General features: G+C 40.6%; 1 protein-coding gene across 3 annotated transcripts in view, besides 1 other annotated feature; it reads right to left on the bottom strand.

The window, feature by feature from the left end:
- CRYBG3 (crystallin beta-gamma domain containing 3) overlaps positions 1 to 12,168 on the bottom strand; it is a 122,974-nt gene extending 110,806 nt beyond the window's left edge. For all 3 annotated transcript variants that reach the window (NM_153605.4, XM_005247117.5, XM_047447439.1), the window contains exon 1: positions 11,824 to 12,168. In NM_153605.4, coding sequence (NP_705833.3) covers positions 11,824 to 11,972 — 149 coding nt within the window. In that variant the 5' untranslated portion in view covers positions 11,973 to 12,168. The remainder of the gene's footprint in view (positions 1 to 11,823) is intronic.
- Positions 12,022 to 12,391: a silencer, noted in NCBI's record as "silent region_14552". NCBI's record gives its function as "represses an Ori minimal core promoter by ATAC-STARR-seq in GM12878 lymphoblastoid cells {active_cell/tissue: GM12878}" and the evidence as "EXISTENCE:reporter gene assay evidence [ECO:0000049][PMID:35858748]".

The raw sequence follows: 12,401 nt of genomic DNA, 5'->3' as shown, positions 1-12,401 counted from the left end.
TATAAGTATGCAAGTGCTATGGTTTGGATGTCTGTCCCCTCCAAAGTTCATGTTGAAATTCAACCCCCAGTGTTGGAGGTGGGGCCCAATAGGAGGTGTTTGGGTCATGGGGGTGAATCCCTTAGGAATAGATTAATGCCCTCCCTGGAGTGGTGGTGAGTGATTTTTCACTCTGTTAGTTCCAGGAAAACTGGCTGTTAAAAAGAACCTGGCACATCCTGACCCCTTGTTTCCTTTCTTCCCAAGTGATTCCTGTACCTTCCACCATGAGTGGAAGCAGCTTGACACCCTCATCAGATGCAGATGCCCAATCTTAACATTCTAGCCATCAGAATCCTGAGCCAAATAAATCCCTTTTCTTTATAAACTACCCACCCTCAGGTATTCCTTTATAGCACAGAACACAGACTATGACAGCGAAAAACCTCTGTTTTGTAATCTTTTAGCAATTTTTTTTATTATTATACTTTGAAGTTCTGGGATACATGTCCAGAACATGCAGGTTTGTTACATAGGTGTACACGTGCCATGGTGGTTTGCTGAACCCATCAACCTGTCATCACATTAGGTATTTCTCCTAATGCTATCCCTCCCCTAGACACCCCCTGACAACCCGACAACAGGCTCTAGTGTGTGATGTTCCCCTCCCTGTGTCCATGTGTTCTCATTGTTCAACTCCCACTTATGAGTAAGAACACGTGGTGTTTGGTTTTCTGTTCTTGTGATAGTTTGCTGAGAATGATGGTTTCTAGCTTCATTCATGTCCCTGCAAAGAACATGAACTCATCTTTTTTATGGCTGTATAGTATTCCACGGTGTATATGTGCCACATTTTCTTTATCCAGTCTATCATTGATGGGCATTTGGGTTGGTTCCAAGTCTTTGCTATTGTGTACAGTGCTGCAATAAACATACGTGTGCATGTGTCTTTATAGCAGAATGATTTATAATCCTTTGGGTATATACCCAGTAATGGGATTGCTGGGTCAAATGGTATTTCCAGTTCTAGGTCCTTGAGGAATCGCCACACTGTCTTCCACAATGGTTAACCTAATTTACACTCCCACCAACATTGTAAAAGCATTCCTATTTCTCCACATCCTCTCCAGTATCTCTTGTTTCCTGATGTTTTAATGATCACCATTCTAACATGTGAGATGGTATCTCATTGTGGTTTTGATTTGCATTTCTCTAATGACCAGTGATGATGAGCTTTTTTTCATATGCTCATTGGCCGCATAAATGTCTTCTTTTGAGAAGTGTCTCTTCATATCCTTTGTGCACTTTTTGATGGGGTTGTTTTTTTCTTGTAAATTTGTTTGAGTTCTTTGTAGATTCTGGATATTAGCCCATTGTCAGATGGATAGATTGCAAAAATTTCTCCCATCCTGTAGGTTGCCTGTTCACTCTGATGATAGTTTCTTTTGCTGTGCAGAAGCTCTTTAGTTTAATTAGATCCCATTTGTCAATTTTGGCTTTTGTTGCCATTGCTTTTGGTGTTTTAGTCAGGAAGTCTTTGTCCATGTCTATGTCCTGAATGGTATTGCTTAGGTTTTCTTTTAGGGTTTTTATGGTTTTAGGTCTTACATTTAAGTCTTTAATCCATCTTGAGTTAATTTTTGTACACAGTGTAAGGAAGGGGTCCAGTTTCAGTTTTCTGCATGTGGCTAGCCAGTTTTCCCAAAACCATTTATTAAATAGGGAATCCTTTCCCCATTGCTTGTTTTTGTCAGGTTTGTGAATGATCAGATGGTTGTAGATGTGTGGCATTATTTATGAGGCCTCTGTTCTGTTCCATTGGTCTATGTATCTGTTTTGGTGCCAGTACCATGCTGTTTTGGTTACTGTAGCCTTCTAATATGGTTTGAAGTCAGGTAGCATGATACCTCCAGCTTTCTTCTTTTTCCTTAGGATTGTCTTGGCTATATGGGCTCTTTTTTTTTTTTTTTTTGGTTCCACATGAAATTTAAAGTATTTTTTTTCTAATTCTGTGAAGAAAGTCAATGGTAGCTTGATGGCAATAGCATTGAATCTATAAATTACTTTGGTCAGTATGGCCATTTTCACAATATCGATTCTTCCTATCAACGAGCAAGCAATTATTTCCTCATAGCCATCATTGAGAGGTTAGGTTATGGAGTTCAATTTATACTCAAAGAATTAAAAAGTTTGGAAACAATGATAATTGCAAAGATTTTCTAGCTATTTCTAGCAAAAGCATATAGGTGAACACATGTTTAACTCTGTCCCATGGAAACGATGGTAAAGCAATTAATAAGAGGAAATAAGCTATCAGGTTAAAAAAAAAGACGAAGAATAACAGCATTCAGGACAGATGAGATTTTTGAAGGAGAGAAAAACAGGAAGAAATATAATTTAGAATAAATAAAACTTTTATCGTTTCTTTGTGTCGGGAACATTTCAAATGTTATCTTCTAGCTATTTTAAAGTATACTATTGTTAACGGTAATCCCCCCCACTCTAACAGTGAAGTGCTAAGCTGAAGTGATATACTAAAAACCCTGATTTGATCATTACACATTGCATGAATGTAACAAAATATCATATACTCACTTCATAAACAGTACAATAATTATGTATCAATAATTCTTTTACAAAAAAGAATAGATAAAAACTCAGAATCCCATACCCCAAAATATGGCACTTTGACATGCTGAACTGAGCAGCCTCAAGGTCTCTCTGAATCCCACCTTCGTCTTTTGTCTTTGATCCTCTGTCTCTCCCAAAGCACAGAATGAAGTTCTGTTCTCTGAAGTTCTCTTATCTGCTTAAAGTTTGGACCCATCAAAGAAAAAAACAATTACCTCTAGTCCCTTCCCTAGTTTTCATTAACTGAATCATATTACAAGAAGAAAGACTGAAGTCTGTCATAACATCTCAACAGACTTTTGTCATAAACCACTGTCTGTTCTGTGGGCCCAACAGACTTTGTCCCAGGCCTTTGTTATGTTCTTCAAGCCCAGTGAGTTCCCATAAAAAGTATTTACTATTCCCCTAAAATCATCCACTTCCCTCTCTCTTAAGAGGTGGGGTATATAAGCATCTCTACCCTACTGGGATATTTGGTAATCAATTTTTTCCCCCTGCATGCTAATAAATTTCGATGTCATTTCTCCTATTAATCTGCCTCTTGTCAGTTGATTTCTTAGTGAACTCACATCCCCAAATTATAACATTTGGCAGGAGCCTAGCAATTTTTAAAAAGAGAAGCCTCCAGACTCTGGAATACCAAGAATAAAAGTATAGAAAGCACAGACCACACACAGGGAGCTTGAGCCAAACTCTCCATTCTAAATCGTTAAGATATAAGCCTCTCAAGTGAAAGAGCCTGCCAACTGTCCAGCAAAATGAATTTAAAAGGCACTGTGCAAGGTACATTACTGTGCATTTGTAGAGTCTACACTGAAGAGAGATTTCAAAATTCACAAAGAAAAAATGAATCACAAAAATAGGTCCAGAAATCGTACTAGCCTCAGATTTCTCAACAATCCAGAATTAAAGAGAAGACTAATAGAGAAATGTCTTCAGAAATCTGAGTGCAAGTAATTTTGAGTCTATAAATTTATACCCAAACTATCATTTACTAAAGTAGAAAAATGTATTTTCAGAAGTGCAAAGACAAAAAAAATATCTAACATGTACCCTTGTTTGTTAGATATATGCCAACAAAAGGAGGAGTTAACCAAGAAAGAGGAATACGTGAAGTCCAAAAATAGGTGGTCTTACATAGGGCTGAGTAGTAGAGAGATCAATACAGCAAGCTTGGGAACTACTAGATGATACAAATTACAGGAAGACACAGAGACCAAGAGAAAGGTCTTGGAAGTCATGGGGTAAACTGGTAGATGTGATTTAATGATGTAGAAAAAAGCACTGAAAGTGGTTTTATAAATGTATTTGTGCATCCTAGAAGTAGCAGCAATAAGCAAATGAAAAACAAGGTAATTTACTCCATGAAAAACAAAATATCACACAAAGAAAGTAACCATAGTACAGCACTTGGCTTAGCAGAAAACAACAGCTAAATATTCATAGAAATCTACAGGTTTATTTAATCTTCCATTTATAATGATTATTTTGGCTGGATGAGTAATGAGATGTGGAAGGGTATAAAATAGCTGAGTGCTCATCTACCAGAGGTCAATATATATTGTCCAAAGTTTATAAACCAAGAACAGAAAAACATTACTTAGACACATGTTCCAGGAGAAACAGCTTAAATGAGATTGAAAAAAAATTAAAGTTTCCTCTGAGAGCCTCAAAAATGGGCTCACATCTGTTAAATGCTCCTACAGTCCCCTACATGTTACCTTGGTACTTATTTCAAGAGAGAAGAAAGATTTGGGCAATGTCTGCCTTCCCCACAAAACTGCATGCATGCTTTGAGGCAAAGACAATGCTGCACCTTGTTAACTGCTGGATTCCCAGGACCTAGACTGGTGCTTGACACAGCGACACTAAATTAATTCTTTTTAAACACAGGTGAAGCTTTCAAATCAAATAACCAAAATGTTAGGATCACATGGAAGAATTAACCAAAGCATTTTCATATGTGACTTTTCCAATAAAATATAAATCTTTCTAATTTATAAGGCACATCAATTTTGTACACACTTAATAGCCCATGGAGTTTTGGCTGGTACGCTAAAGCTGAGAGAGACCTTAGAGATGAAAACCAACTCCCTTGATTTATCACTAAAGACTCTGAGGTTAATAACCTGTCCTGGGTCATACTGGAGAGGTCAAGGTGGGTGACAGGTGAGCACGTAAAAATGAGTTATGTTGATATATTTGTGGCTGCAAGTGTCAACTCCACCCAGTTTCACATTAGAGATTAATAATATAGAAAAGTCTCACTCCTACTTGTACAAAGTGTCAAAATATCAAATTACTCTGCATTACAAAAACTACTTCTGTTTATTTATATCCTTAACTGAAACTTTTCCCCTTTGAATAAGTTAATGTAGTGCATTCTCTCTCTGGAGGATTTTTGCCAACTCAGGATCATACATTCTCTTGTTTTCTTTTTTTTTCCTTCTTTTAGCCACAGGTATTCACCAGATTTTAATCCAATCTTTTTCTTACTTTATGAAATAGGTAATTCACATAATTTTTAAGTGTACAAAGGCATAAGACAGTCTTTCTCCTGCCTCTCATCCCTTCACTCAGTTCCCCATACCCCCAAAATAAGTTATGCAACACTAGTGACAGATTTATTTCATATCCCCTTCTTTTGTATATACAAATGGGGCATACTATACACAATTAGTTGTAGCTTAAGTTTTTTTTTGTTTGTTTGTTTGTTTTTGTTATTTTTTTTTTTTTTTTTGAGATGGAGTTTCACTCTTATTGCCCAGGCTGGAGCACAATGGTACGATCTTGGCTCACTGCAACCTCTGCCTCCCAGGTTCAAGAGATTCTCCTGCCTCAGCCTCTGGAATAGCTGGGATTACAGGCAAGCACCACCACACCGGCTAATTTTTTTTGTATTTTAGTAGAGATGGGATTTCACTATGTTGGTCAGGCTGGTCTCAAATGCCTGACATCAGGTGATCCACCCGCCTTGGCCTCCCAAAGTGCTGGGATTACAGGCATGAGCCACCACGCCCGGCTTTTTTTTTTTTTTTTTAACTTAATGTATCTTGGAGATATTTCCTTAACAGTACATAAAAAGCTTTCCTATTCTTTTTGGTAGATACATCATATTTCACTATATGGATGTACTGTGATTTATCAGTTAGTCCACAATTGAATGGCATTCTACTCTATTTTTCATCTTTTGCTATTAAAACAATGCTGCAATGACTAACTTCTATAGGCAACTTTTGGCCTGTTTGCAAACTGTACATGTTCAGTGGAATTCCCTGAAATCAGAAATGCTGAGTATGTGAATCTGCAATATTGATAGGTCATATCAAATTTCTCTCCAAAGTGGTGTATCAATTTATACTCCCACTAGTAGTGTATAAGAGTTCCAGCTTCCCCACATGAAACTGGAGTTTTGCTTATCAAATAGGTAGAATATGGTATCTTGCTATGGTTTCCATCTGAAACTCTCTTTTGAAGGAGACTGACCCTTTCTTTGTATTTAAATATAAATCTATAACCTGCATAAATGTGTGCATTTATTTTCCTCTCCCAACTCTCAGGAGTATAATTCTTGATTGTCCATAGCTCTGACCCAGTCCATCTGGGCAGATGTCCAGCTGCATGCCATTGTCTTTTATTTCCATTCCAAACCATTTTCTAAGGGCAGCCTTCTTTTACGAGTCTTCCCAAGTTAAGCGGAGGAAGCTGTCACATAATGCTGTAGGCTTTGAATTCAGGAAGGAAAACTTGACTCTTGACTCTACTACCAATATTGTGAGACTTTTGATTACCTACTGAACCTCTTGAAGCCTTAAATTATATATTGTAAAAGGGAGTAAAGATACGTTTGCTCTGAGGATTAAGTGAATTGATATTTTTAAAGTTCCAAGCTCAGGGCTTAATAAAGGGTATTAAGGGTACCCTTAATAAAGGGTAGGGCCTTAATAAAGGTTAGTTTGTTTTTGTCATCATTAATTGATTAGGAAGAAAGAAAACAAACACACACTTGGTTAAGCTCTTGTTTCAGTGCTTTAGCATACTTCCAATTAAAAACTCCTGGGAGTAAGTAAAACATTCAGGGACAGTCCTGCTGGATGGAGTTGTACCATTACTTGGCCACGTACAACTGCCAAATAAACACTAAGAATGACTTATTACTAGTGGAAAAACTTCGATTTGTTCTCTAACAGCATCAACCTTCCTGGTGTTTCTAAGTGCCTACTTGAAGGTTGGGGAGGGTACCACCCCTAGCTGAATGTTACTAATAAGTCCTTTAATGCTCCAATCAACAGTCACTCCTCACCTGAACTAAGGGGACGCAAAGATGAAGACAAAGCCCCTGACCTTGGGTCTAGCAATCCTGTCTCAACTTCTTTCCATCAAAAAAAAAGCACTGCCACTTTTTTGGAATGTTGATTCCCGAAGGGATGCCCTTTTCTGCCTCTATCCAGGACTTGCAAAGCCTGAAGGGTCAAGGAGGAAAGCAAGAGGAACCAAGGGGCAGCATTTCCATTCACCTTGATGGTGCAGTTACTATCATGTTTCCCCCACTATGCTGCCTTGGCAAAGGAAGCTAACCAAACCATGCTTGGAGAAAAGTTAATAATGTGAGAACATATTTTGAAAGCCCAGTTAAAGTTCTCATACAACGTATGACATTCGTGAAACATTAAGTATGCTCTGAACGAAACAAGTCACACACTCCAAAGACATGTTTGGTTTATAATGAGTTCATATTAAGAACAGAGATGTACACTTTTATCTCCTCCATTAATGTGTGAATTCTATGAAGGCATATTTGGTCATCCATTTATGGTTATATCCACATTGCTTTGCACCATATGAGACACAAAGCAGCCACTCTAACTTATGGATTGAACAGACTCAAAGTAGGTATTACCTCCTTAACTTTTACTTCATGCTGATTCCTTCTTTTCAGCATATAGCCTAGATTATTTTCCTTAATTTTACAACCACCTACAGTTTGTTGCTATCATTTTATTTAATAATTGGTAACTAACGTTTCTTATATCTGGACTTTGGTATATTTCATCAGAACTTTGGATAGAAAATATTTTGTCTTGAGGGAATATTTTCTCTTATTTTACAAAACTTGCTATTACCCTTTTTACATATTTTCCGCTGTTATGAGTAAAAAAACTTAAAAATGTTATAACTGTCAATAAAGTTAGAAGTTCTGATTATATAAACTTACTGCAGGTCAATTTGTGGTACCTTTGCAACTTTAACACTTTCAGAGCATACAATTGAGTCCATTTCCAAGGAATGTTCACAGCAAAAAATAGAATTCCCAAATTAGCCATCTGGTAGACACCTTATTGAACCCAAGAGATGGAAATCACTTGGAAAAGGTGGACTTTTGATACCCTACAACAGGCTATATTTTGACTCTGCTGCCAAGAGTAAGCTTTTGCTTTGAATTAACCTAGAGGAGCAGAGGGGGACAAGATTCTCACAAATTACACACCCCTAAAGACTTCTGGAATTCTCTCGTCATCTTCACTACTGAAGGCATGAACTGCTGATGTGACACAGGTATCTCCTATCCAACTAACTAGTTACCAATTATTTTTAGTGCTTCAAATCAATAAAAATGCAATCATCATGACAATTTAGAAAACAAAGCTTCCTTTCCTCACATAACTGATGCTGTTGTCAACACTGGTAGTTTAACCTGAAGGCCAATAGCTCTCCCATGCTGGTCATCAGAAGTACTACTGACATTTCTGACAGTACAGAGTACCTCCTACACCACAGCTCATTAGCAGCCTGGTCCCACCCATTCACCTCCTCTCACGATTTAGGGTAATCACTCTCCACTGGGAGTGGTATCACTCTCCCTCCCACCCACCTGGGTGGAGGAATTTTCAGTTATCCCAATGACCAGAGGATGCTACTGGCAATTAGTGTGTGTAATCATGGATACCAAACATCTTGCAAAGGACAAAAGAGTCCAGTTCAAAGAATTGTTCCATTCAAAACGCCCATAGCATCCATCACTGAGCACTCTCCCAAACTCAGTTTCTTCAATTGTCAGATCGTAAAAGTGGACCAACATTTCACACTGAGTGTGAGATTTACATGATACGTTGCAAGTAAAAGTACCCAGCCCAGAAGTAAGTGCACAGTCAGCCCTTGATAAATACTGTTCTCACCTTACCATCTCTCTTCACAGTTACAAACATTGCACAGAACTCATTTTAAACAGGTCCATCATGCATGATACAGCCAAGAAACAAAGTTGAGCAATCATTTCTTGAAGCAGATAAAGGCAGGAATTCCTCCAAGTTTCATATTTCAGCAATATCTGTATAACAGGCTTTTGCAAAAATTCTCTGAGCCTTAAATCTAGAGCCAAACATTTTGTCTAGAGACCTTTATAACCCAGTTCCAACCTAAATTTCTTACTGCTCCTTTCACTCTGTCCCATTAATGTATATATCCCCTAACAGATCATAAACCCCTTGCAGGCCTTTGCTCAGTCTGGAATGCCTTTTCCCGGAATACCTGTTCCCTATTCTCTCTCTTCCTAAGTTCTCTTTGTATAGAAACATCACCAATTCCTTGAAGACCCAGTTAAAATCATCCCTACCAGGAAGCACTTCCTGGTCTCCCCTATCACTTCTAATGAGTCCATTCCTTGTATGCTTATAAACTGGGCTTAACACTGCACCAGTGATTCTCAAACTGGGATCCACAGAACTCTGGGAGTTTTTGAGTTTCCTATGAAAACTTCAATTGCAGTTTTCCTTTTTATCATCTAAAATAAATTAATATAAGCATTTCCTGGAAATGGTCAACCACCTAATATGAGTACAATCAAGCAATTTGAGTGCCTACGCCTAAGTTGGGATATACAATAGTGTTGATGCTAATAGGCCTTCTTTAATTGTGACAAAGAAAGAATACATAATGAAGTGTTGTCACCAACTGAAGCCCATATAAATCACAGCACACCATAAAAACAAAGATTTTCCTATGGTTCAAAACAGTAAAATATTGGAAGACCTGTATCAAGGCATGGCAGCTCCCCAAAGACCTGGTGTTTGTCCCAGTACGCATTTTGTGAGCAGGCAAAAAAACAGTTTCAGGATGTTGTAAATTCGACTTTTACGGGTCTCATAATTATGTTTTAGTTTATTTTTTAATTTTGTACTCCTCTTCATCTAAAATCATCACTACAGAAGGTATACCCAGCTCTCATAATGATAAAAGTTTTTATGCCCACAAAGAGAAATAGCCAAAATACTCTTTCATTTTGAAATAAGATCACAGTGACAAATTGCAATTCTGTTTCCAATCTTGTTAACATCAGGGTGTTGTGTTACTGGGACATTCAGTACTATAAAGCGGTTCCATTTGTTTTATTAAACTTTCAATAAAGGCTTTGTGTTTGTTTATGCCCTTGAAATGAAAGATTTAAGCTCATTTAAAACAGTAAAACACCCACATAAAGGGTCATCTGCTATCCCCCTAACATCTGGCAAGTTCCAAAAAAGATGAGAACAAAATTAGCGTTGATATAAGCACAATTAAAATCTTCATCGTTGAAAAGCCATAATTTGTGCCAATCTGGAGATGATGAGAATAGAGAAGTGGTAGGTGAACAAGGAACTAGTTGCTGGAGGGGTCAGCTCCAGTCAGTAAAGAAATTAGAATTGAGAAGTGCCTTAAAAAGCCAAAATAGGGCAGAGAGGCAAGCAGGATTTCAGGCCATTACTGACATGAGCCTGAATTTGACCTGCTTACTCCTTTCTAACACTGACTCTCAAGTTCCCAACTTTTGCTGCGCCTACTTGGGATTTCCTTGCAGACTGCGTTCATATTATCCAAGACTGTTAGTGCTGTTACGGCGGTGGCAGGCACCACAGGCTGTCTGCCCACACCAACAGAACTAGCTGACACCCTGGATGAGATCTGTCAGACTTAAAAACTATTTTTAACTTCTGTGTAACTTTGAATTTTAAACTCTCAACAGTCAGAGCAATAATAGCTGAAACGTCCCAGGAGAATAACCACTCAATTATCGTAGGAGCTTTCTTGGAAACATGTGGCATGTTATTAACAGACGGTCATAATGAAAATGTTTCACAAGCGGGGAAACCGAGGAACACACAAACGACTAAAATCACATCACAAAATCTGAATACTAATGGAATTGGCTCACTCTCAGTTCTGTTTCCTATCCATTTTTTTTAAGCCCACCAGGAAATCTTGAGTCCGAAGTAAACACGGTTTTCTGGAGTGTGTCCTTCCAATGACAATGGTCATTCTAGTGCAATCTCGGGAGAAGACAGTGTAAGCCTCTCATAAGTTTAAGAAAGCGAGCTGCGTTTTACTTAACCCCTCTTTCTTCGGGGGGATGAAAAGACTCAGAAACAGGCATTTAAATGAGGCATGTCTAAAATTTTTTGATTTTTGAACATGGGAAAGTGAAGGAAAGATAAAAATATTACAGAGAAAGGGTACATTTTGATTACTGAAACCAAGACAGCTGGAAACCTGATTTCCAGAATCTGTTTGGGAACTTGAGGCAGATGTTTCTAGGAGAGATGAGAAATAAAGAAGGGTGGCGTCATTTACATGTCCAGTCCATTTTGGTGAAAGTCTTGGGAACGCATTATCACAATTCCTTTTAAAAATCATTTTGAGAAAATTTAAATAAGATGGCAAAAATACCAGCTGAGGGGGTGACGCCCCAAAGCTTTACCTTTTCCACTTTTGCCCCGATCTCCTCCCACACAAGTGGTGCTGGGATCGCGCCCCCAATTCCCCTGGCCGACGGCTCCGCTCGGCTCACAAGTGTTTCCCATTACTGCAGGCGGGACGCCGGGGAAATCGCTTTTGCCACAGAACTTGGAGAGTAGAGCGTGTGTGGAACGGGAACCCAATCACGTCCGGGCAGGGGAAAGTGGGAAAGGAAGAGCGCGGAGCCAGGCGGGGATCGGGGGATATGCGTCCGGCTGCCGGGCAAGAACTTCACCCCGATTTAACCTGCAGAGGAGAGGCGAGTAGTGCGGCACGGGAACGGGGCAAGGAGGAGGAAACTTTAGCAATGGAGGAAGGAGAACAGAAAGTGGCGAGCGAACTGCAGCCTGGCCCAAGAGCGGCCCGCTGCCGGCGGTCAGGCCGGGAGCCTTCATCCCGCGAATATGTGCAGGGCCCCCCCGCGACCCCCTCCTCGACTCCCACCTGGCAGCGGACCGGCCTGGAGCTGGAGGCGGGCTCGTCCCCGGCCTCTCCTCCTCTTCCTCTTCCTTGTCCCGGGAAGGACTTCGGGGAGCGAAGAACCGGGAGAAGCTGTGCCAGGGGGCGCTGCCCCTTCTGCGGCCGCTGGACATTTCCCGAGGGGGCCGCTGGCCCGGGGCTGTCTGAAGGGAACGGCCTAGGTGTTGCCTGGTGCCCGGAGCCCGACCGGGCGCCGCGGGATGCGGCTAGGGCAGACCGACTCGACGCGAGCTGCCAGCGCGGCTCAGTCTCTCTCGGGCAGGAGAAGTGCGGACGCGACGCGCTCCTCGCGCGGCAGCTCCTCACGCCGCTGCGGCTGCTCCTCCTCCCGCCCTCGCCCGGCGCGGCCCGCCCCACCCCGAGGAGGAGCCAGTGGCCGCGGCACCGCCCTGAGCCGGGCGCAGCCGCCACCGCTGGGGCGCTACGTGGTCCCCCGAAGGCGCCGGCCTGAGAGCCTGAGGGGAGTCGCCCAGCGTGCGACGCTAGGCTCGGGCTTACGGCTCAAACAAGTTCAGGCTGCAGCCTGTTGGGCTTTGCCTTCA

This window comes from Homo sapiens, chromosome 3 (assembly GCF_000001405.40).
Source record: "Homo sapiens chromosome 3, GRCh38.p14 Primary Assembly".
In the NCBI taxonomy this organism is placed as follows: domain Eukaryota; kingdom Metazoa; phylum Chordata; class Mammalia; order Primates; family Hominidae; genus Homo; species Homo sapiens.
This window is presented reverse-complemented; position numbering and strand designations above follow the sequence as displayed.